This window comes from Homo sapiens, chromosome 4 (assembly GCF_000001405.40).
Source record: "Homo sapiens chromosome 4, GRCh38.p14 Primary Assembly".
Lineage (NCBI taxonomy): Eukaryota > Metazoa > Chordata > Mammalia > Primates > Hominidae > Homo > Homo sapiens.
In genome coordinates this window covers 64,649,142-64,673,082 of record NC_000004.12, presented here as the reverse complement: position 1 = coordinate 64,673,082, position 23,941 = coordinate 64,649,142, and the positions used below count along the sequence as shown (strand labels likewise).

Genomic DNA, 23,941 nt, shown 5'->3' with positions numbered 1-23,941 from the left:
AAGTTGAAATCAGTCTACTACTCAACAACGGAGGTAAGGAAGAGTATGCATGCAATACAGGAAACCCATTAAGAGCATCTCTTAGTTTTACCGTCCCCTGTGATTAAGGTCAATGAGAAACTACAACAGCCCAATCTAGGCAGGATTACAAAGGGCCCAGACCCTTCAGGAATGAAGGTTTGGGACACTTCCCCAGGAAAAAAAAACACGGCCTGCTGAAGTGCTTGCTAAAGGCAAAAGGAATACAGAATGGGTAGTAGTAAAAGGTAGTCGTCAATACCAGCTACAAGCACGTGACCAGCTGCAGAAATGCGGACTGTAATTGTCATAAGTATTTCCTCCTTCTTTTGTTAAAAACATGTTTGTGCATGTATACACTTGTACAAATAAAATATCTTCATTTCATTTCCTTTTTCCTTTATCATGTGGCGTAAGATTTATTGACTTCATATCAACATGTAAGTATTGTTAACTTTACGTAATAGTGTTTGTGTTGGGAATTGGTGTGTTTCCAGTTGTACAAAGGGTAATTATATTAGGTTAGCTGTAATTATGACCTTATTATTGTCTTTATTTAAATATTATGTGTGATCTCAGGAGATGTGTACATGTTCAAGTTGACAAGAGGTGGACTTGTTACGGTTAATACTGAGTGTCAACTTGATTATATTGAAGGATGCAAATTATTGATCCTAGCTGTGTCTGTGAGGGTGTTGCCAAAGGAGATGATTAACATTTGAATCAGTGGGCTGGGAAAGTCAGAGCCACCCTTAATCTGGTTGGGCACCATCCAATGAGCTGCCAGCACAGCTAGAATATAAAGCAGACAGAAAAAAAAGTGAAAAGACTAGACTGGCCTAGCCTCCGAGCCTACATCTTTCTCCCATGCTGGATGTTTCCTGCCCTCAAATATCGGACTCCAAGTTTTTCAATTTTGGGACTCAGACTGGCTCTCCTTGCTTCTCAGCTTCCAAATGGCTTATTGTGGGACCTTGTGATCATATAAGTTAAGCCAGCAAAGGATAGAAGCAGGCAAGAGCCCTGCCCTCTCAGGTGCAGCTGCAGCCACCCAAGCCACTGCTGCAGACCTGGGCATCTGTGCACTCTAGGGGGCCTATTGCTGCTGCCTGGCCTCTTCCCACCTTCAGCACCTGCTACAATCTCAGAACAAGATTGGGGCCAAGTCTGGGTGCTATTGTAGACTGGCCTGTTGTGCAAACACTACAGACAGCACTGACATGCCAGGCCCTTGCCACCTTGGCCCCCTCCAGACTTTGGTCATCAAGTATAGTAGGGAGGCTGGCAGGGGGGGCAGCTGAGGGCACCTTGGCTCAGGCCTGCAGGTGCCCCTTTGCATGAACAGCCTGGGCACCATAAATGGCAGCAGGTGCCAGAAAGGCTCCTGGGCAGAAGTAGGCATGTCCCCAATGAAGCCTCAACTTCAAGTTGGGGAGGGCCTGAAGCCTGAGGGCAGGGCTGCCAGCACTGTGAACTGGTGTGAAAATTTGTGGTGCTTTTTTTCAGTCCACCCATGGCCACCCAAGTACCAATCAGCATGAACTTCCTCCCCTCTGAGACCCATAAAAGCCCTGCACTCAGCCAGACTTGAGACAACAATGACCTGTCAGTTGCAGAGAGGAGCTACACACTCTAAGTGTCTCCTCTCTGCTGAGAGCTGAGGAGACAATGGGTCACCCTGCCTGGGGAGAGATGCTACCCAATGCAGATCTCCTCTGAGCTGTTCTGTCACTCAATAAAGCTCCTCTTTGCCTTGTTCACCTTGCACTTGTCCACATACCTTAGTCTTTCAAGATGCAGGACAATAACTTGGGACCTGCCAAATGGGGTTGCTAAAAGAGCTATAACACAAACAGAGTTGAAACATGTCTCTTGTTTGCCACATTGCAGGAGACAAGAAGGAGAGAAGAGAGAAGGAGAGAAGAGCTGTGGCCCTCTGGGGAGCCCAGACCTAGGAGCTCCCTAAGCCAGAACTGTCACACCCTTTTTAGGGCTCTGTGGTTCCTGGGGGTCTCCAAGCTTCCAGGTGTCACCACGTTCCTTCGTGCCAACCATGGAAGCTGCTTACAGTGCACTTGGTTGAGCCACAGCCTTGCAGAGAGCCAGTGCCCATGCTGACACTTGGAGCTGCCTGTCCTGCTGCAGCTGGCTTGCCTGGCTTTGAACAGTGATCAGATGCTATGTTCCTTCACACACCACTCGCTGCTCCATGCCTTGCTTGCTGATGGACGGTGTGGGATCCAGGCCAGTAATGTGAGCCATGGGCAGCCTGCCAAGGCAAGTGGACAAAATGAGCCCAGCAGGCCCAAGCAAAACTCAGGGTGGCAAAGCGACACCCTAAAAATCCTGTGACAACAATAAAAAAGCAGCCCAACGATTTGGAGAAAACATTTGCAAACTGTGTATCTGATAAAAGGTGAATATCCAAAATACATTTTAAAACCTCACAGAATTCAAAGCAGAAAAATCACTAGGCTGGGCGCAGTGGCTCATGCCTGTAATCCCAGCACTTTTGGGAGGCTGACGGGGCCGGATCACGAGGTCACATTGAGACCATCCTGCCTAACACGGTGAAACCCTGTCTCTACTAAAAATACAAAAAATTAGCTAGGCGTGGTGGCGGGCGCCTGTAGTCCCAGCTATTTGGGAGGCTGAGGCAGGAGAATCGCGTGAACCTGGGAGGCAGAGCTTGCAGTGAGCTGAGATCGCGCCACTGCACACCAGCCTGGGTGGCAGAGTGACACTCCATCTCAAAGAAAAAAAAAAAAAGAGTTTTGTTAAAGAAGACATAAAAAATGACCAAGTATATGACAATTTACTCAACATCACTAATGATCATAGAAATGCAAATCAAAACCACAATAGTTATCACCGGATTCCTGTTAGAATGTCTATTATCACAAAGACAAGTGATAAGAAGTATTGGTAAGGATGTGGAGAAAAGGGAACCATGTGCACTATTGGTGAGGATGTAAATGGGTGTAGACATTACGGAAAACAGTACACAGGTTCTTTAAAAAATTAAAACTGATTCTATAGTTTATATCTCTGGGTTACTTTACACTGTGGTGTTGTTATCATTCCTGACTATGTTATTTTCTTTCCCAAATTTATCTTCAATATGGACTATGGCAAATGTAATAAATTAGACGTTGTTTACCTATGTATTTTGAAAGTCCACTTGAAAGACTAAATATGCAGACTATCTATACCAAAATAAATGAATGAATAAAACTTTCCTGATATTTGGATTAAAATAGATTCACTCAAATGTCACATTATAAGGCAAAATGTGATGGCAATAAGCTAGAGTGAAATTGAATTTTGCAATACTCAGGTGCACAAATATTTTCCAAGTAACTTTTTATTTTTTAATTATACTTTAAGTTTTAGGGTACATGTGCACAATGTGCAAGTTAGTTACAGATGTATACATGTGCCATGTTGGTGTGCTGCACCCATTAACTCGTCATTTAACATTAGGTATATCTCCTAATGCTATCCCTCCCCCCTCCCCCCACCCCACAACAGGCCCCAGTGTGTGATGTTGCCCTTCTTGTGTCCATGTGTTCTCATTGTTCAATTCCCACCTATGAGTGAGAACATGTGGTGTTTGGCTTTTTTGTCCTTGCAATAGTTTGCTGAGAATGATGGTTGCCAGCTTCATCCATGTCCCCACCAAAGACATGAACTCATCATTTTTTATGGATGCATAGTATTCCATAGTATATATGTGCCACATTTTCTTAATCCAGTCTATCATTGTTGGACATTTCGCTTGGTTCCAAGTCTTTGCTATTGTGAATAGTGCCACAATAAGCATACGTGTGCATGTGTCTTTATAGCAGCATGATTTATAATCCTTTGGGTATATACCCAGTAATGGGGTTGCTGGGTCAAATGGTATTTCTAGTTCTAGATACCTGAGGAATCGCCACACTGACTTCCACAATGGTTGAACAAGTTTACAGTCCCACGAACAGTGTAAAAGTGTTCCTATTTCTCCACATCCTCTCCAGCACCTGTTGTTTCCTGACTTTTTAATGATCACCATTCTAACTGGTGTGAGATGGTATCTCATTGTGGTTTTGATTTGCATTTCTCTGATGACCAGTGATGAAGAGCATTTTTTCATGTGTCTTTTGGCTGCATAAATGTCTTCTTTTGGGAAGTGTCTGTTCATAGCCTTCGCCCACTTGTTGATGGGGTTGTTTGTTTTTTTCTTGTAAATGTGTTTGAGTTCATTGTAGATTCTGGATATTAGCCCTTTGTCAGATGAGTAGATTGCAAAAATTTTCTCCCATTCTATAGGTTGCCTGTTGACTCTGATGGTGGTTTCTTTTACTGTGCAGAAGCTCTTTAGTTTAATTAGATCCCATTGGTCAATTTTGGCTTTTGTTGTCATTGCTTTTGGTGTTTTAGACATGAAGTCCTTGCACATGCCTAAGTCCTGATTGGTATTGCCTAGGTTTCCTTCCAGGGTTTTTATGGTTTTAGGTCTAATATTGAAGTCTTTAATCCATCTTGAATTAATTTTTGTATAAGGTGTAAGGGAGGGATCCATTTTCAGCTTTCTACATATGGCTAGCCAGTTTTCCCAGCACCATTTATTAAATAGGGAATCCTTTCCCCATTGCTTGTTTTTGTCAGGTTTGTCAAAGATCAGATGGTTGTAGATACGCGGCATTATTTCTGAGGGCTCTTTTCTGTTCCATTGGTCTATATCTCTGTTTTGGTACCAGTACCATGCTGTTTTGGTTACTGTAGCCTTGTAGTATAGTTTGAAGTCAGGTAGCATGATGCCTCCAGCTTTGTTCTTTTGGCTTATGATTGACTTGGCAATGCGGGCTCTTTTTTGGTGCCATATGAACTTTAAAGTAGTTTTTTCCAATTCTGTGAAGAAAGTCATTGGTAGCTTGATGGGGATGGCATTGAATCTGTAAATTACCTTGGGCAGTATGGCCATTTTCATGATACTGATTCTTCCTACCCATGAGCATGGAATATTCTTCCATTTGTTTGTATCCTCTTTTATTTCCTTGAGCAGTGGTTTGTAGTTCTCCTTGAAGAGGTCCTTCACATCCCTTGTAAGATGGATTCCTAGGTATTTTATTCTCTTTGAAGCAATTGTGAATGGGAGTTCACTCATGATTTGGCTCTCTGTTTGTCTATTATTGGTGTATAAGAATGCTTGTGATTTTTGCACATTGATTTTGTATCCTGAGATGTTGCTGAAGTTGCCTATCAGCTTAAGGAGATTTTGGGCTGAGATGATGGGGTTTTCTAGATATACAATCATGTTATCTGCAAACAGGGACAATTTGACTTCCTCTTTTCCTAATTGAATACTCTTTATTTCATTCTCCTGCCTGATTGCCCTGGCCAGAACTTCCAACACTATGTTGAATAGGAGTGGTGAGAGAGGGCATCCCTGTCTTGTGCCAGTTTTCAAAGGGAATGCTTCCAGTTTTTGCCCATTCAGTATAATATTGGCTTTGGGTTTGTCATAGATAGCTCTTATTATTTTGAGATACGTCTCATCGATACCTAATTTATTGAGAGTTTTTAGGATGAAGGGTTGTTGAATTTTGTCAAAGGCCTTTTCTGCATCTATTGACATAATCATATGGTTTTTGTCGTTGGTTCTGTTTATATGCTGGATTAGGTTTATTGATATGCTTATGTTGAACCAGCCTTGCATCCCAGGGATGAAGCCCACTTAATCATGGTGAATAAGCTTTTTGATGTGCTGCTGGATTTGGTTTGCCAGTATTTTATTGAGGATTTTTGCATCGATGTTCATCAGGGATATTGGTCTAAAATTCTGGGGTTTTTTTGTTGCTTTTTTTTTTTCTGATCGGCAAGCAGGACTCTTCTTTTTTTGTGTGTGTGGTTCTTTTTTTTTTTTATTATACTTTAAGTTTTAGGGTACATGTGCACATTGTGCAGGTTAGTTACATATGTATACATGTGCCATGCTGGTGCGCTGCACCCACTAACTCGTCATCTAGCATTAGGTATATCTCCCAATGCTATCCCTCCCCCCTCCCCCCACCCCACAACAGTCCCCAGAGTGTGACATTCCCCTTCCTGTGTCCATGTGATCTCATTGTTCAATTCCCACCTATGAGTGAGAATACGCGGTGTTTGGTTTTTTGTTCTTGTGATAGTTTACTGAGAATGATGATTTCCAATTTCATCCATGTCCCTACAAAGGACATGAACTCATCATTTTTTATGGCTGCATAGTATTCCATGGTGTATATGTGCCACATTTTCTTAATCCAGTCTATCATTGTTGGACATTTGAGTTGGTTCCAAGTCTTTGCTATTGTGAATAATGCCGCAATAAACATACGTGTGCATGTGTCTTTATAGCAGCATGATTTATAGTCCTTTGGGTATATACCCAGTAATGAGATGGCTGGGTCAAATGTTATTTCCAGTTCTAGATCCCTGAGGAATCGCCACACTGACTTCCACAATGGTTGAACTAGTTTACAGTCCCACCAACAGTGTAAAAGTGTTCCTATTTCTCCACATCCTCTCCAGCACCTGTTGTTTCCTGACTTTTTAATGATTGCCATTCTAACTGTTGTGAGATGGTATCTCATTGTGGTTTTGATTTGCATTTCTCTGATGGCCAGTGATGATGAGCATTTTTTCATGTGTTTTTTGGCTGCATAAATGTCTTCTTTTGAGAAGTGTCTGTTCATATCCCTCGCCCACTTGTTGATGGGGTTGTTTGTTTTTTTCTTGTAAATTTGTTTGAGTTCATTGTTTTTTTGTTGTGTCTCTGCCAGGCTTTGGTATCAGGATGATGCTGGCTTCATAAAATGAGTTAGGGAGGATTCCCTCTTTTTCTATTGATTGGAATAGTTTCAGAAGGAATAGTACCAGCTCCTCCTTGTACCTCTGGTGGAATTCAGCTGTGAATCCATCTGGTCCCGGACTTTTTTTGGTTGGTAAGCTATTAATGATTGCCTCAATTTCAGAGCCTGTTATTGGTCTATTCAGAGATTCAGCTTCTTCCTGGTTTAGTCTTGGGAGGGTGTATGTGTCGAGGAATTTATCCATTTCTTCTAGATTTTCTAATTTATTTGCGTAGGGGTGTTTATAGTATTCTCTGATGGTAGTTTGTATTTCTGTGGAATCAGTGGTGATATCCCCCTTATCATTTTTTATTGCATCTATTTGATTCTTCTCTCTTTTCTTCTTTATTAGTGTTGCTAGCGGTCTATCAACTTTGTTGGTCTTTTCAAAAAACCAGCTCCTGGTTTCATTGATTTTTTGAAGGGTTTTTTGTGTCTCTATTTCCTTCAGTTCTGCTCTGATCTTAGTTATTTGTTGCCTTCTGCTAGCTTTTGAATGTGTTTGCTCTTGCTTCTCTAGTTCTTTTAATTGTGAGGTTAGGGTGTCAATTTTAGATCCTTCCTGCTTTCTCTTGTGGTTATTTAGTGCTGTAAATTTCCCTCTACACACTGCTTTGAATGTGCCCCAGAGATTCTGGTGTGTTGTGTCTTTGTTCTCATTGGTTTCAAAGAACATCTTTATTTCTGCCTTCATTTTGTTATGTACCCAGTAGTCATTCAGGAGCAGGTTGTTCAGTTTCCATGTAGTTGAGCGGTTTTGAGTGAGATTCTTAATCCTGAGTTCTAGTTTGATTGCACTGTGGTCTGAGAGATAGTTTGTTATAATTTCTGTTCTTTTACATTTGCTGAGGAGTGCTTTACTTCCAACTATGTGGTCAATTTTCAAATAAGTGTGGTGTGGTGCTGAGAAGAATGTATATTCTGTTGATTTGGGGTGGAGATAGATGTCTATTAGGTCCACTTGGTGCAGAGCTGAGTTCAATTCCTGGATATCCTTGTTAACTTTCTGTCTCACTGATCTGTCTTATGTTGACAGTGGGGTGTTAAAGTCTCCCATTATTCTTGTGTGGGAGTCTAAGTCTCTTTCTAGGTCTCTAAGGGCTTGCTTTATGAATCTGGCTGCTCCTATATTGGGTGCATATATATTTAAGATAGTTAGCTCTTGTTGAATTGATCCCTTTACCATTATGTAATGGCCTTCTTTGTCTCTTTTGATCTTTATTGGTTTAAAGTCTGTTTTATCAGAGTCTAGGATTGCAACCCCTGCCTTTTTTTGTTTTCCATTTGCTTGGTAGATCTTCCTCCATCTTTTTATTTTGAGCCTATGTGTGTCTCTGCACATGAGATGGGTTTCCTGAATACAGCACACTGATGGGTCTTGACTCTTTATCCAATTTGCCAGTCTGTGTCTTTTAACTGGAGCATTTATCCAATTTCCATTTAAGGTTAATATTGCTATGTGTGAATTTGATCCTGTCATTATGATGTTAGCTGGTTATTTTGCTCATTAGTTGATGCAGTTTCTTCCTAGCCTCAATGGTCTTTACAATTTGGCGTGATTTTGCAGTGGCTGGTACTGGATGTTCCTTTCCATGTTTAGTGCTTCCTTCAGGAGCTCTTTTAGGGCAGGCCTGGTGGTGACAAAATCTCTCAGCATTTGCTTGTCTGTAAAAGATTTTATTTCTCTTTCACTTATGAAGCTTAGTTTGGCTGGATATGAAATTCTGGGTTGAAAATTCTTTTCTTTAAGAATGTTGGCCCCCACTCTCTTCTGGCTTGTAGAGTTTCTGCCGAGAGATCAGCTGTTAGTCTGATGGGCTTCCCTTTGTGGGTAACCCGACTTTTCTCTCTGGCTGCCCTTAACATTTTTTCCTTCATTTCAACTTTGGTTAATCTGACAATTATGTGTCTTGGAGTTGCTCTTCTCGAGGAGTATCTTTGTGGCGTTCTCTGTATTTCCTGAATTTGAATGTTGGCCTGCCTTGCTAGATTGGGGAAGTTCACCTGGATAATATCCTGCAGAGTGTTTTCCAACTTGGTTCCATTCTCCCCGTCACTTTCAGGTACACCAATCAGATGTAGATTTGGTCTCTTCACATAGTCCCATATTTCTTGGAGGCTTTGTTCATTTCTTTTTATTCTTTTTCCTCTAAACTTCTCTTCTCACTTCATTTTATTCATTTGATCTTCCATCACTGATACCCTTTCTTCCAGTTGATCAAATCAGCTACTGAGGCTTGTGCATTCATCACGTAGTTCTCATGCCTTAAATTGAGATTTAATGTGCCTACTCCACAAAAAAGAAATGAAAAAAATATATATTCTAGACTTGAATAAGTTTTGCAAGTATATACTGGTGTAACTCTTAGAAAACCAATCAACATAAAAGATATTTCCATCATCCCCAAAATGTCTTTTCTTGCTATTTTCCAGTTGATTACCACTCCCTATCCTTAAACAATAAACCATCTTTTATACTTTTTCTATATGTCTTTCTACAAAAGTGCATTAAAAAATTGTCCTAAGAGGGAAATTTCTAGGTTATAAGGTCATTATATGTTTAATCTCTAAGAGAGTGCTAAACTATGTTCTAAAGTGGTTTTTATCATTTTACATTCCTATCAGCAGAATTGAGAGTTTCAGGTTCTCCACAATAAATCTAGATTGTATATTATCAATCTTATTATTTTAGTTACTTTATTGGTATGTAATATTACAATGATTTTACTTTGCATTTCCCTAAAATCTAATGATGTTGAGGACATTTTTGCATATTTACGACTTTTTAAAATTATGTGTATCACTTATAAAGACATGAGTATTTCTGGGAAGATTTCATCTTTTAGCTTCTACTCATGAGTTAGCAAAAAAAATTGAGGTAAAAGTGCAAAGAGAAATTTTACTTGAATATTCTGTGAATTCATAGCAAAAAATGTGCAAGTCATCTGCTGGCTATCATACCTGATTGAGAATAATTAAAATGACTTTATTTTCTTTTTTTTATATGATGGTTGATTATGTCATTTAGACCATCCCTTTCTACTGACTATAGTTACAGAGGCTAAAATGTGACAAAAACAACCAGTATGAGATTCTAGTATTTAAAAGTATGAGCAAAGCAAATCACTGGGAAACTTGGAGGTGCCCCTGACAGCTTAAGTTGTCCTTATGTTAGCCTTTCAGAACTAGAAGAATCTGTGGCTGCCGAGATTGAGGACCCAGGTGATCTAATCACTACTTTGAGATGGGCTTAAAAGTAAATCCCAAATAAATGAGGGCTTGCATAGGCTACCTCTTGGCTTTTTATTAAATGATTGGCATTAAAAATTTCAAGTCTCTCACTTATAGTAAGATTTTTTTGGAGATAAATAAAATTATTTCCTAAAAAATATCACATTTTCCCATACATGGGTAGATGAAAAGATGGGTGACAAATTAGCAATAATTACTTATAACAAGACTCAAGTAGTTAATTTTTCTTGCATAAAACTATGCAATAAAATAACCAAACATAAGTATAAAATGTTTATATATAGTTGGAATTTGGAAATAAATTTCTAAATTAATTCATATGTAACCAGGTGTGGCGGCTCATGCCTGTAATCCCAACATTTTGAGAGGCTGAAGTGTGCAGATCACTTGAGCTCAGGAGTTTGAGACCACCCTGGAAACATGGTGAAACCACATCTCTATCAAAAATACAATAAAAAAAATAGCTGGGTTTGGTGGTGTGTTCCTGTGGTCTCAGCTATTTGGGAGGCTGAGGCAGGACGATTACTTGAATCTGGTAGGCAGATTTCAGCGAGCAGAGATCATGCCACTACACTCTAGCCTGGGCAACAGAGTGAGACCCCATCTCAAGAAAATTACTAATAAAAATTAAAAAATAAATTAATTCATAAATCAATGAAAAAATGACAATGCATGTTAGAAAATATTTGAAATTAAATTATAATAAACAGTATATAAAAATTTGAGTGCAGGATTTAAATAAAAATTTATAGCTTAAAATGCAACTAGTAAAAAAAGCGATAAAATATATGACATATGCGTATATTACAAAAAGATAAAGAGTAAAATATCACAAAAGAATGCAGACAAAAATTAAATTATAAGGAAAACAGAAGAAGATAAGCAAATAGAAGAAAACATTTTAGAGGATAAACAGAGTTAAAAGTTGTTATTAAAAAAGAGAATTGGCCGGGTGCAGTGGCTCACGCCTGTAATCCCAGCACTTTGGGAGGCCAAGGCAGATAGATCACCTGAGGTAAGGAGTTTGAGACCAGCCTGATCAACATGGTGAAACCTTGTCTCTACTAAAAATACAAAAAGTTAACTGGGCGTGGTGGTGGGCGCCTGTAATCCCAGCTACTCAGGAGGCTGGGACAGAATAATTGCTAGAACCCAGGAGGCAGAGGTTGTAGTGAGCCGAGATCACACCATTGCACTCCAGCCTGGGCAAAAAAAGCAAGACTCTATCTCAGGAAAAAAAAAGAAAAAAGAATTGATAGACTTCTGGAAAGACTGATTAAAACAAAAAAGAAGACTCAAAAAGTCAAATATCAGAAATGACAATCTGACATGGGTACATTTCATGTAGATATAGATAAAAAAATTTACACACTATATACCAAAATATTGTAATTGTATTTAAAATTAAATGCTTAGGAGAATACACATGATGCAACCCCCGCCCCACCCCCAGTAAACTGAATTGCTCTAAACCAGCAAGGAGGAATCAAATCTATAGTTAAAATATTTTTGACATGCAAAAACATTCGTTCCAGGAATTAATAATCAAATTTATGCAACGTCTTCCAGGGACTAGAAAAAAAATTAGTATCTTATTTTAAAGTACTTAAGTAACTTATTTTATGATGTTAGCATAAACTTTATATCAAAACAAGAAAGTTAAGGGAAAATAGAAAAAAGGCCACTCTTTCATGGACATAATGCAAAATTTGTTAACAAATGATTAGCAAAATGAATCCCCTATGGTTGACAGAGGTCATATATCCTGACCAAGTTAATTGTTTCAGGAACTGCAGATGAGTAGAGCAGAATTAAGGAGGAACATCAGTCATAACAATGGATGAAGAGACATAGTTGCCGATGATGTTCAACATCTAGTCACGATTGAAAAAGTGAAAACATTTTCTAATATTTATGAAAATCCAAAGTGAGATATTTTTCTCTCCCAAGTATTCAAGAAAAATAGAATAGCAGAATGGAGTAGAACTGCACCTAATCAGACCAACATATATGTGAAATAAAGTTTGTGAAAAAGGTAGAACTGTGGAACAGTAAAACATTGTCAGTCTTCACAGTAAATAGTATTGAGAGAATTGAATATGCATATGGAGGAAATAAAAACAATTTGAACACATTCCTCAGAACATTTTTTGAAATCCATATGATGGATGGCATAATTAAAATAGAATATATTATTAAACAAGACAATAAAATGCACAAAATATAAAAATAGATTGATACATTTTTAATTAAGATGAAACTTTTGTGTATCAAAACATATCAAAGTTGGAAAAACAAAACACAAGCCAAATTGCAAGACAATACATTTGCAATACATACAATAGTTAGAGAATCTATGTGCAGAATCAACAAATACCTACAAATCATTATATAAAGAGAGTGAACTCAATAGAAAAAAATGCAAAAGACTTGAGTAAGAATTTTATAAAAGAGAAAATCCAAATGGGTAACAAACATACTGAGAAATATGAAAAATATGAAACATATTCTATGTCATTTGTAATGAAGAAAATCTTAAATGAAGACTAAAACCAAAATGACACACATTGTGCTATGATGGTCATATCTATATCATCTATGTATATCAATATATCTATATATCATAGTATATTGAGTAACTCTGGAAAGATAATATACAGAAACATAACAATAGAAATAAGCTCAATCACATAATTTCATAGGGTTATGATTTCAGCTATATACAGTGTTATAATGCCTATATTATAAAACAAGAAAGGTGAATATATCTTATTAACACTGTTTTCTGGAAGACATCTTTTTAGAGAAGAAATATGTAAAATTAATATATGCTCACTCTAAAAGACAAATGATGATGAATTATTAGAAGTGATAAAATGTATTTTTTAATGAAAATAGAAATGTATAGGGCAGTGTTTTTTAATAATCTCCATTCTAACTGGCATGAAATGGTATCTCATTGTGGTTTTGATTTGCATTTCTCTAATGACCAGTGATAATGCGGTTTTTTTCATATGATTTTTGGCCACATAAATGTCTTTTAAAAATCCAATGTTGAGGAAAAGAAGCAGAATACACAAAAAATGTACCGTATGATTCCACTTTTTAAAGTATCAAATTGGCAAAACCAAACTTGCCTTGTATAAAGTTGCATATTTAGGTGGTTAAAGAAAGTGATTACCAAAAGTATACTATAATTATCCCAGTCAAGTAGATAATTGACATTTGTCAATTGAGATTTGTCAGAAGATTTTGGCAGAATTGGGATTTCTGACAATATTTTGTATCTTCAGACAGAAGGTTTTATTTGGGTATTTGATTTAAGATAATTTGTTCATGTGTGCATTTATGTTTTATACTTTTGTCTGAATGCCTTTTTTGTGTCACAATAAAACTGTTAAAGAACAAAAGAAATAGAATGAAAATTGGAAGTGTCCAACCCCCCAATAATAAGACACATGTGATAGAATCAAAATGCTTTTCATTGATCATAACCAATGACGTTATTCTGCTGGAGTTTCAACTCTAGATATAAAATCATTGGGTAAAACAATTTTGGGTTTAGTTCTCTTGCAACATACATGTCTTTGATAAAGAATTTTTGAATGGCAATTAATTTATGGCAGTTACTTTAATTAGATTCTAATAATAAAAATACAGCCAGCAATTTAAATGATATATCACACTAACATTTATTAAATTTCTTAAAATAGAAATTCAAAATATGAAAATGTAGTAGTGCAAATTACTTTTTTTACTATCTGCTATTCTTTTTGATGAAAAAAAGAAAATAAGAAAGTAAAAAGGAAATAATAAGTGATGACATACTACCAACTGAAAATAATTGTATTGTAAAATATTTATTAACTTTATTTTCCACTTGGCTACAGAATAAGCCACTAAACTTAATTTGACCTAGAAACTAAATATTGTAAGAGTCCCAACAGCCCTAATTAGTTGAAGAAACTGAACTTGTACCACATAACCTTCAAATCATCTCTTTGAATTCACTCTTTGCTTCTAAATCTTGCTGTTTTCCCAAGTGTTTCATGTGTCTCATTTCATATGGTTAATGAAACAACTCAATCAACAAGCCAGGTTTGTACGTGAGTAGATTTAGACTGAGGAGAAATTAATAGACAAGCACTGCCCTATATATTTTTATTTTCATTAAAAAATACATTTTATCACTACTAATAATTCATTCATTATTTGCCTTTTAGAGTGGTCATATATTAATTTTACATATTATTTCTTCTCCAAAAAGATGTCTGCAGGAAAACAGTGTTAATAAGATATATTCACCTTTCTCGTTTTATGATATAGGCATTATAACATTGTCTATAGTGGAAATCATAACCCTTATGACATTATGAGATTGACCTTATTTCTTTTATGTTTCTATACATTTTCTTTCCAGAGTTACTCAATATCATAGCATATTTTATGTGGGTATATATATATATACACACACACATACATACACACAGACACACACAAACCAAAGCATGTATATACACATTGTTGAAAGTTTTAGTTGATAAAATGTTAGAGAATATTTAAATTATTTTTTTTTATTTTATTTTCTGTGATTCGAGAGGAACATATGAGTACTACAAACAAGACACCAGTGGAATCAAAGAATATTGAAGAAACCTTTAATCTTGGGATTCTTTCATCTTCATCTAACTTTTTTAAAAATAAGAAGTAATAAAAGAAAATAGCAGCCTAATATGGCCCAAACTAATACAACTCAATATCTATATTCACTTATTTATGCATGTTTTCATCCTTTCAAGTTTCATATATTCAGTTATTAATTAGTTAGCTTATTCATATATTAATGAATTCATTCTTTCAGCACATATTTGCTTGTCACTATGCACCAGTAACTTATAATAGTCTCTACAGAAATAAAATTTTATCATTGACACACTGAGTTCACAGTCTTCTGTGGGATACAGATCTAAGAACAAATAATTACAGCAGAAACTATATTTTAAATTGCTAATTTTTATTGTAAAATTGTGTGTTATAAGAATATGATACAGACAATCAAGGGTGACTTCACTACTTGAATTGAGTGTTTAAGGTTAGATAAAAATTTCTCAGATGAAGAAAGAAAATAAAGATTCCTTCTCTCCAGAAAGAATAAGAAACAAAGCATGATGGCATTGGCTAGGGGTACAGTAAATTAAGAAATTAGAAGGAAAGAGTGAAGTACCCAGAAAATCTTAAGTAGCTCTTGACATTGGAGATACATCAATCTTCAACACATAATTCAAAATAAAATCACACAAAGCTGAAGTAAAACTATAAGGAATTCAAACATTTCTATTTTCTTCTGAAATGGCCACATGAATATTTTCTTGAAGAAGTACCCAGTATGAATTTTTTTCTAGTGGAAATTCTGGTTTCCTTGCTTTAATGGTCTTTTATACATATATTCAATATCTATAATACTGAAATTGTGGTGAATAATAAATAAAGATAAATACTGTACCCAGTATGCTGAAATTCTGCTTGTAAAAACTTGGTTTACATTCATTATAGCATGAATATCTACAGTGAAAATATGTAGAAATGAAATATTTCAAGGCTTCAGTTATTTTAACTTTAACTTAACTTAAATACCCCTAATAGATTTCTTTAAAAGGCTACTTTCAACTTATATTTTGTTTCAAAACCATTCTTCTTCTATAATATCAAATAAAGTGTAAAATTTTGATACTTATTCAGATAGTTTTTTTGATGTAATTGTGGATATTTTTCTATAAAATTGGTCAAATAATTTTACTTGTATGTAACAAAAGGTTAATTTTTAATTACACTAACTTGTATAAGTCTACACCAGCATGAAGTCACAAGAACTTGCATAATTAATCAATTTATACAGTTTTCTCATTCCATTACATGAAACATGGGTCTGTTATTTGTGTATCATGCACTGTACAGGACTCTCTCTGACTTAATGAAGTTACTCTTAGTCACCTGTGAGGAATAAGAATTTGATATTTGTTTCAGTTTATTTTTTTCCTGATTTGAACAGAAAGTAAGTGGATTATTTCATACATATTTTAATCATATGGTATTTGTTTAAAAACTTAGGGGAGATTAGATTTGATAAGAATCTATCTTTTTAAATACATTTCTCAAAATTTTATAATTTTGCCTAGCCAAATATATATAATTTTGAGAGGGTAAAATGATGTCATAGACATTGAGAATATATCAGACAGATAGCTACATGAGAATATATAGGCTGCCCAAACAGAGAAAACAGTATTTTAGGTAATTAAGCATCTTAATTTCTTGACTTTTCAGTCTTCAAGAAGAACATAAATATGTAAAATGTGCTTTTGGTATTCCAATTAAAAGGAATTGTGGTTTATATAAATGAGACCCTTAGTTATTAACTTAAAAAACATTGGGAATGGGAGGTCACTCGTGATTTGGCTCTCTGCTTGTCTATCGTTAGTGTGTAGAAATGCTTGTGATTTTTGCACATTGATTTTGTGTCCTGAGACCTTGCTGAAGTTATCAGCTTACGGAGTTTTTGGGCTGAGACAATAGGGTTTTCCAAATATACAATCATGTCATCTGCAAAAGAGACAATTTGACTTCCTCTCTTCCTATTTGAATATGCTTTATTTCTTCCTTTTGCCTTATTGCCCTGTACAGAACTTCCAATACTATGTTGAATAGGAGTGGTGAGAGAGGGCATCCTTGTCTTGTGCTGGTTTTCAAAGGGAATGCTTCCAGCTTTTGCCTATTCAGTATGATATTGGCTAAGGGTTTGTCATAAATAGCTCTTATTATTTTGAGATATGTTTCATCAATACATAGTTTATTGAGAGTTTTTAGCATGAAGGGGTGTTGGGTTTTATCCAAGGCCTTTTCTGCATCTATTGAGGTAATCACATGACTTTTGTCATTGGTTCTGTTTATGTGATGGATTACATTTATTGATTTGTGTATGTTCAATCAGCCTTGCATCCCAGGGATGAAGCTGACGTGATCATGGTGGATAAGCTTTTTGATGTGCTATCTATCTGACAAAGGGCTAATATCCAGAATCTACAAGAAACTTAAACAAATTTACAAGAAAAAAAAACAACCCCATCAGAAAGTGGGTAAAGGATAAGAACAGACATTTCTCGAAACAAGACATTTATGTGACCACCAAACATAAGAAAAAAAAGCTCATCATCACTGGTCATCAGAGAAATGCAAATCAAAACCACAATGAGATACTATCTCACACCACTTAGAATGGCAATCATTAAAAAGTCTGGAAACAACAGATGCTGGCGAGAATGTTGAGAAATAGGAATGCTTTTACACTGTTGGTGGGAGTGTAAATTAGTTCAACCACTGTGGAAGACAGCGTGGCGATTCCTCAAGGTTCTAGAACCAGGAATACTATTTGACCCAGCAATCCCGTTACTGAGTATATACACAAAGGATTATAAATGATTCTACTATAAAGACACATGCACACGTATGTTTATTGTAGCACAATTTACAATAGCCCAGACTTGGAACACACCCAAATGGCCATCAGTGATAGACTGGATAAAGAAAATGTGGCACATATACACTATGGAATATAATGCAGCTATAGAAAAGAATGAGTTCATGTCCTCTGCAGGGACATGGATGAAGCTGGAAACCATCATCCTCAGTAAACTGACACAGGAACAGAAAACCAAACACTGCATGTTCTCACTCATAAGTGGGAGTTGAACAATGAGAACACATGGACACAGGGAGGGGAACATCACACACTGGGGCCTGTCAGCAGGTGGGGAGATAGGGGAGGGAGAGCACTAGGACAAGTACCTAATGCATTCAGGGTGATTTTTAGGGTTGATGGGTGCAGCAAACCACCATGGCACATGTATACCTATGTAACAAACCTGCATATTCAGCACATGTATCCCAGAAATTAAAGTAAAACAGAAAAATTTAAAAAAAAATTGAATTCCTGAAAACTAATAATAATCAGGATAAAGTAATCAGGGTAACATGTAACAACCATATTATAACACAATCTTTCAGAAGCAGGAAGACAATGGTTTGTCTTTTGATAAGAGTGGTAGAAAATTTAGCATCTATGTCTGTATCTACACACATAGAAAATAAAAAAAAAACTATTAAAAAGCTAAATGCCTATTTTCTATAATTGGATTCCTGTCCCTTGAAGTTGAAAAAAGTAAAAAGTAGAACTAACCTATCTCCTGTTTTCTATCATTCCCTAGTATTGCTACACACAACCCAATTATGACAGTACTGGTTGAGTACCTAGATACTGAAGCTTGAAAAAGTGGAATGTTTGTGTGTGTGTGTGTGTACTGACAAACAGCCACCAACCCCACCACCACACACACAATAAAGAATAGAAGTTAGAATTTCTGAAAGGCTAATAGTTAAATATGAATTGTTATAACTAATAAGAGCTAAGTTTTTAGCCCTTCTCAGTTCCAGGTCTTAAAAAAAAATATGAAGGTTATCTGTTTTTAGCCTCTTCACTATACTTTGTGAACAATGGCCTCAACCTTCCTTCCAGTATAATAAAATAGACACAGCAAGCTGCCAGTATTAGTCCATTTTCACACTGCTATAAAGACATACGTGAGACTGGGTAATTTATCAACAAAATTGATTCACAATCCTGCATGGCTGGGGAGGCCTCAGGAAATTTACAATCATGGCAGAAGGGGCAGAGGCGGGTCTTACATGGTGGCAGGCAAGAAAGAGAAGTGTGAGTAGCAAAGGGGAAAGAGCCCCCAGTAAAACCATCAGATATCATGAGAACTTACTATCACAAGAAGAGCATGGAGGGAACTGCCCTTATGATCCAATCACCTCCCACCAGTTCTCTCCCTAGACATTTCGGAATTATAGGGATTACCATTTAAAACAAGATTTGGGTAGGGACACAAAGCCTAACCATATTGCTGCCATTAATCTTACAATCACAATCCAGTTCACAAACACTGTCAAAGATAGTGAACTTTGCAGCTTCCTCATCAGGAAGCTTGTGATGAAGCTTTCCAGTTCATCATGATGATGAGATAATTGGAAATTGTTGACAACTGTATTTACAAAATTATAAAGACATCTTCTTTTCTTTTCTTTTTTTTTTTGAGACGGAGTCTCGCTCTTTCGCCCAGGCCGGACTGCAGTGTTGCTATTTCGGCTAACTGCAAGCTCCACCTCCCAGGTTCACGCCATTCTCCTGCCTTGGCCTCTGGAGTAGCTGCGACTACAGGTGCCCGCCACCGCAACCGGCTAATTTTTTATATTTTTAGTAGAGACGGGGTTTCACCGTGTTAGCCAGGATGGTCTCAATCTTCTGACCTCGTGATCCTCCCACCTTGGCCTCCCACAGTGCTGGGATTACAGGCGTGAGCCACGGTGCCCAGCCCTTTTATTTTCTTTAAATTTAAAAATGTATTTACCTTAACAGAATTTGTCTCATGGTTCTACATTTTCTACTTACCACAAAATAATGCTAGGCTTCCTATTTCTGTTTCTTCCTTCTCATTATCTTTTCTTGTAATATGTGTTCATCATTGGCTAGAATATAACTGATTTTTAATGTTTCGTTGTCACTACACATACGATTGAGGTGTGGATAGAATCTTGTTTTTCTATGCTTATATCTGGTTAGTTCAAAAACATTATTAAATCTGTTTTATATTTCCTTATTATTATGGTGTTGGGCACTGAAAAATAAATAGCATAACTAAAAGTCAAGCAGCCTCTTATTTCACAGAAAAATATTTGAAATAGAGCAGTGGAAAAAATTGGTATGAACATATCGCTTTTAAGTTAATGGAGTAAAGGTAAAAGGTATCAAAATGAGTTTATTGTGTCTTAAGACCAGTGTGTTTAGAGAACAATCTAAGGTTAAGGCCAATAACTGGATGAATAAATTGAGAAGGCACAAATATTTGTATTAAAAATAGTAGTATGTGAAAAGGAGCAAAATAAAGCTCTTATAATCTCAGAATCAATAGCAGCACAAGTATGGGGAGCCTAGGAAGAATGTAAACTAAGAAAAGACATAGAATGTGAGTAGAATGTAGACAGAAACCAATCAAAGCAATGCAGTATTTGATAAAGGCAAATTTTTTAGCTTATTAAGAAAATCCTTGACTAGGAAGTAAAGAAAATTTAAGAAATTTTATTAAATAAAATACAGAAATTGCTTAGAAAACAATACTACTATTAATTTTTACAGGAGTTGGATTTGATTGTGGATACAATATTTTAAAAACTAACAACAACAAAAAGGAAGGAGTGGAGACTTGAAAAAGAAAGTTTTCAAACAGATAGAAGGACAAAGGATATGCGTCACTCATTTATAGGCCAGTCTAAAAGAAGAACATTAGCTTCCTTCTTAGAAACAGAACAAAATGATAGGTTACTGTGGATGCTAAGGTTATAAAACTCAATTAGTTTGAACTTTAGGGACATGTTGTAATTGCAAAAATGACCACAAATCATTCCTTTTTATCCAAGCCTTTTGGTTGTTTCCTACACACTGAATCTGTGCAGGTCATGGGACTTCCTTTGGTCAATGGGACATCAGCAAATATAACACAAGCAGAGGGTGACAAGAGCTGTATGCTGGGTCTTGATGCTATTGGAAAGCTAAGAACAAGTATGAGCTTAAAATGAGATAGTATGCTGGAGGATGAGAGGTCAACTGGAGCAGATTTGAGTGTTCCAGACTACACTCAGCCAGGCCCTGCATGTCCCAGCAGCTGACTACAGAGGCATGAACCATCCTCAGTTGTGATCAGCTGAACCTGAACCAGACCAGAAGGTGTGCCTATATGAGGCTAGCCCAGGTTTCCAGATTGCAAAATTGTGACCTCAAAAAATGGTCGTTGCTTTAAATGTTTTGTAGCAAAAGCTAACTTATTTAAGCATTAAAATGAATTATTCTGATGTGGCTAAGAAAATAAATGATCTATAATTCCCAATCTTATCTTCATGTTCTCTAGACATGGTTACAAAACGGATGAAAACCAAAATTGATAGGAAGCTCCTGGCATTTTGTCTATTATTAAAGGTGACAAAAGCCTATGAACATTTTAATGACACAGAGTTACTGCTTAAAAGAATGCTCTGGAGCCTGCTGTGCAAGTCAAACATATCATCTGAACATACCTGCTGGCTCCTCTCCATCTGGAAGTCATGCAACAGAAAATGTACCTTTGTTCATAGAGTGGGAATCTCTTTCCTATCCCAATTTGAAACAGAAAAAGGCAAGTATGTCACAGCACACCTTGATGCTAACCTTTGCCAGCAGCTCCAGGTGGAAAAGTCAGACTCTAATTGTTAAGAATTTTATACTCTTTGAAAGCAGACTGTTCTTTAATGAGAGTCATGGGTACTGAAAAAGAAACTCACTTTGCATTTTTTTCCTTTATTTGCAATGAGGTTAGGACTCTTAATGATATATGCAACAGGTAATTCAACTCCTTTAGAATAATTAAGGGATGGAGGCAAGAAATTAAGAACAATTTTATTTTCAAGGATATCTGAGGTGCACAAGAGGATATAATCTCTAAAGAAATTTTAGAAATGAAGAAACAAAAACAAAAGGACAAAATATTGAACAATTTACTCAGCATTTTGGAAATTCATTTTTGCTTAGAGTTACATTTTCCTCTTGTGTGAGAGGATAAATTCACCACTGTTCTTATTTATCAATCACTAGAATCAGAGCAGTATATTAAATATAGCAATGATTTGTAATAGGTCAGAGATTATAAAACACAATGACTAAAAGATTTATAGGATGAAATTAATATAATATAATATGTGTTCACTGCTATGTATGTGATTTGACAGATTTTCTAAACTTATTTGTGCCTGTTTTATTATTTACAAAATAGCATAAATAGAAACATTTGCTTTGTAACCTTCTGTTATCGTTTATTTATTTATTTATATAATTTTATGAGAGACAAGGGTAATTTTGTTAATGCATAGATTGCGTAGTGGTGAAGTCAGAGGTTTTAGGGTATTCAGCCTTCAAAAAACATACATAGTACCCATTAAGTAATTTCTCGTCTTCCATTTCCACTCCCTCCCACCCTTCTGAGTCTCCATTGTATATCATTCTCTATGCCCATGTGTACATATTATTTAGCTCCCATTTTTAAGTGAGAACGTGCAATATTTTGCTTTCAGTGTGTCAATTGTTTCACTTAAGGAAATGACCTCCAGTTCCATCCTTGTTGTAGCAAAGACATAATTTCATTCATTTTTAAGGCTGAATAATATTCCATTATACATATATACCACATTTTCTTCATGCAACCAGTTGTTGATGGACACTTAAGTTGATTGCATATCTTTGCTATTGTGAATAGTACTGCAATAAACATACAAGTACAGGTGTCTTTTTGATATAATAATTTTTGGGGGGAGGTAAATACCCAGTAGTAGGATTCCTGAATCAAATACCCATTGGAAGTTGAGATTATGCATGCAAATATCTTAGCACAGTTCATGATGCAAGAAAAGCATTTAAAATTTTATCTTTTGGAGGAGTATTGTTGATAGTTATTATATTCCCAAATTTAAAAATGTAAGGAGTGATTTAAGATCCATATATGTTATTTCTACAAATATCAATTTACATATGTTGTATATAAATTCCTTAAATGAGTTATTGAGTGTAACTGTTGACAATAATGTTACAATTTTACAATCATTTTAATAAATGTTTCTCCTAATTTTATGTCTTAATCAAATTCTGAAGGCAAAAAGCAGTCATATTTTCTCATCACTGATTTGCTTGTTCTTAAGGTGAAGCAATAAAATGGCATAGTTATAATGTACTGATGCATTGGGTATACAAAGGGAACTAGTGTTGCTCTGTCCGATATTTGGACAGAATTATTAATTAGGATTGGATTAATTTTAACTCCTAGCCAAATTTCTATTTGGAACTGGTGTTGCTCTATCTGATATTCGGGCAGAATTAACGGTTAGGATTAGATAAATTTTAACTCCTAGCCAAATTTCTATTTGTCATCTCATTTTCATTGAGGAAGGAAGCCTATTAGAAGATTTTACAATGTAGCAACAATTTTAATTCTTAAAGTTCGGAAATGTCTGTAAAATAGAAGAACATGATCAATGAAAATTCAGCTGATGACTAAAGTGTGACAATGAAGTATAGGAGCTGGCTCACGCTGTGTCACAAGAACTGATCGTGCTCATCTCTTCCCAAGTCCAGGTTCTATGACATCATCTTAGTAACTTAACATTAACCATAATGAGAGTATTTACACCTTGAAAGTTGGCAAATTTCAAATCTCTGAGGGTAAATTTCTATCCCAGTTGAATGTATTGTTAAATATTAACAGCACACTACTCAGTGTGTTTCAGTTGGAATCCAGCCAAAAAATGTGGATCCCTCTAGATATTTCAAACAGAAATAATAAAATACAGGGAATTGGATACACAGATAATGAACAGGTTGAAAATTAGAACTGGCAATGGTGGGGCGGACCAGAGATTAACAATAGCAGGAAGTTCCCATCATCCTTAGGGTTAAGGAGACACAGGGAGGAGAAGATACTGCCTGTGCGTCCAAACTCAGATCATCTGGTGGATACTAGAGTTGCAACTGGGGATTCTTGAAAGAGCTGGGTCCATCAAAGTTGGATCGCTCCATCAAACGCTGAAAACATGTTGGAAACACAGCCACTGGCTACTACTTAGAGTGATGCCACTGCAAGTAGAAAGAACAAGAAATACCAGACTTC

At 36.2% G+C, this 23,941-nt stretch overlaps 1 annotated feature.

Moving 5' to 3' along the window:
- Nucleotides 1,685-2,184: an enhancer, noted in NCBI's record as "H3K4me1 hESC enhancer chr4:65536617-65537116 (GRCh37/hg19 assembly coordinates)". NCBI's record gives its function as "activates a minimal SCP1, AML or CMV promoter by ChIP-STARR-seq in primed H9 embryonic stem cells {active_cell/tissue: H9 hESC(primed)}" and the evidence as "EXISTENCE:reporter gene assay evidence [ECO:0000049][PMID:30033119]".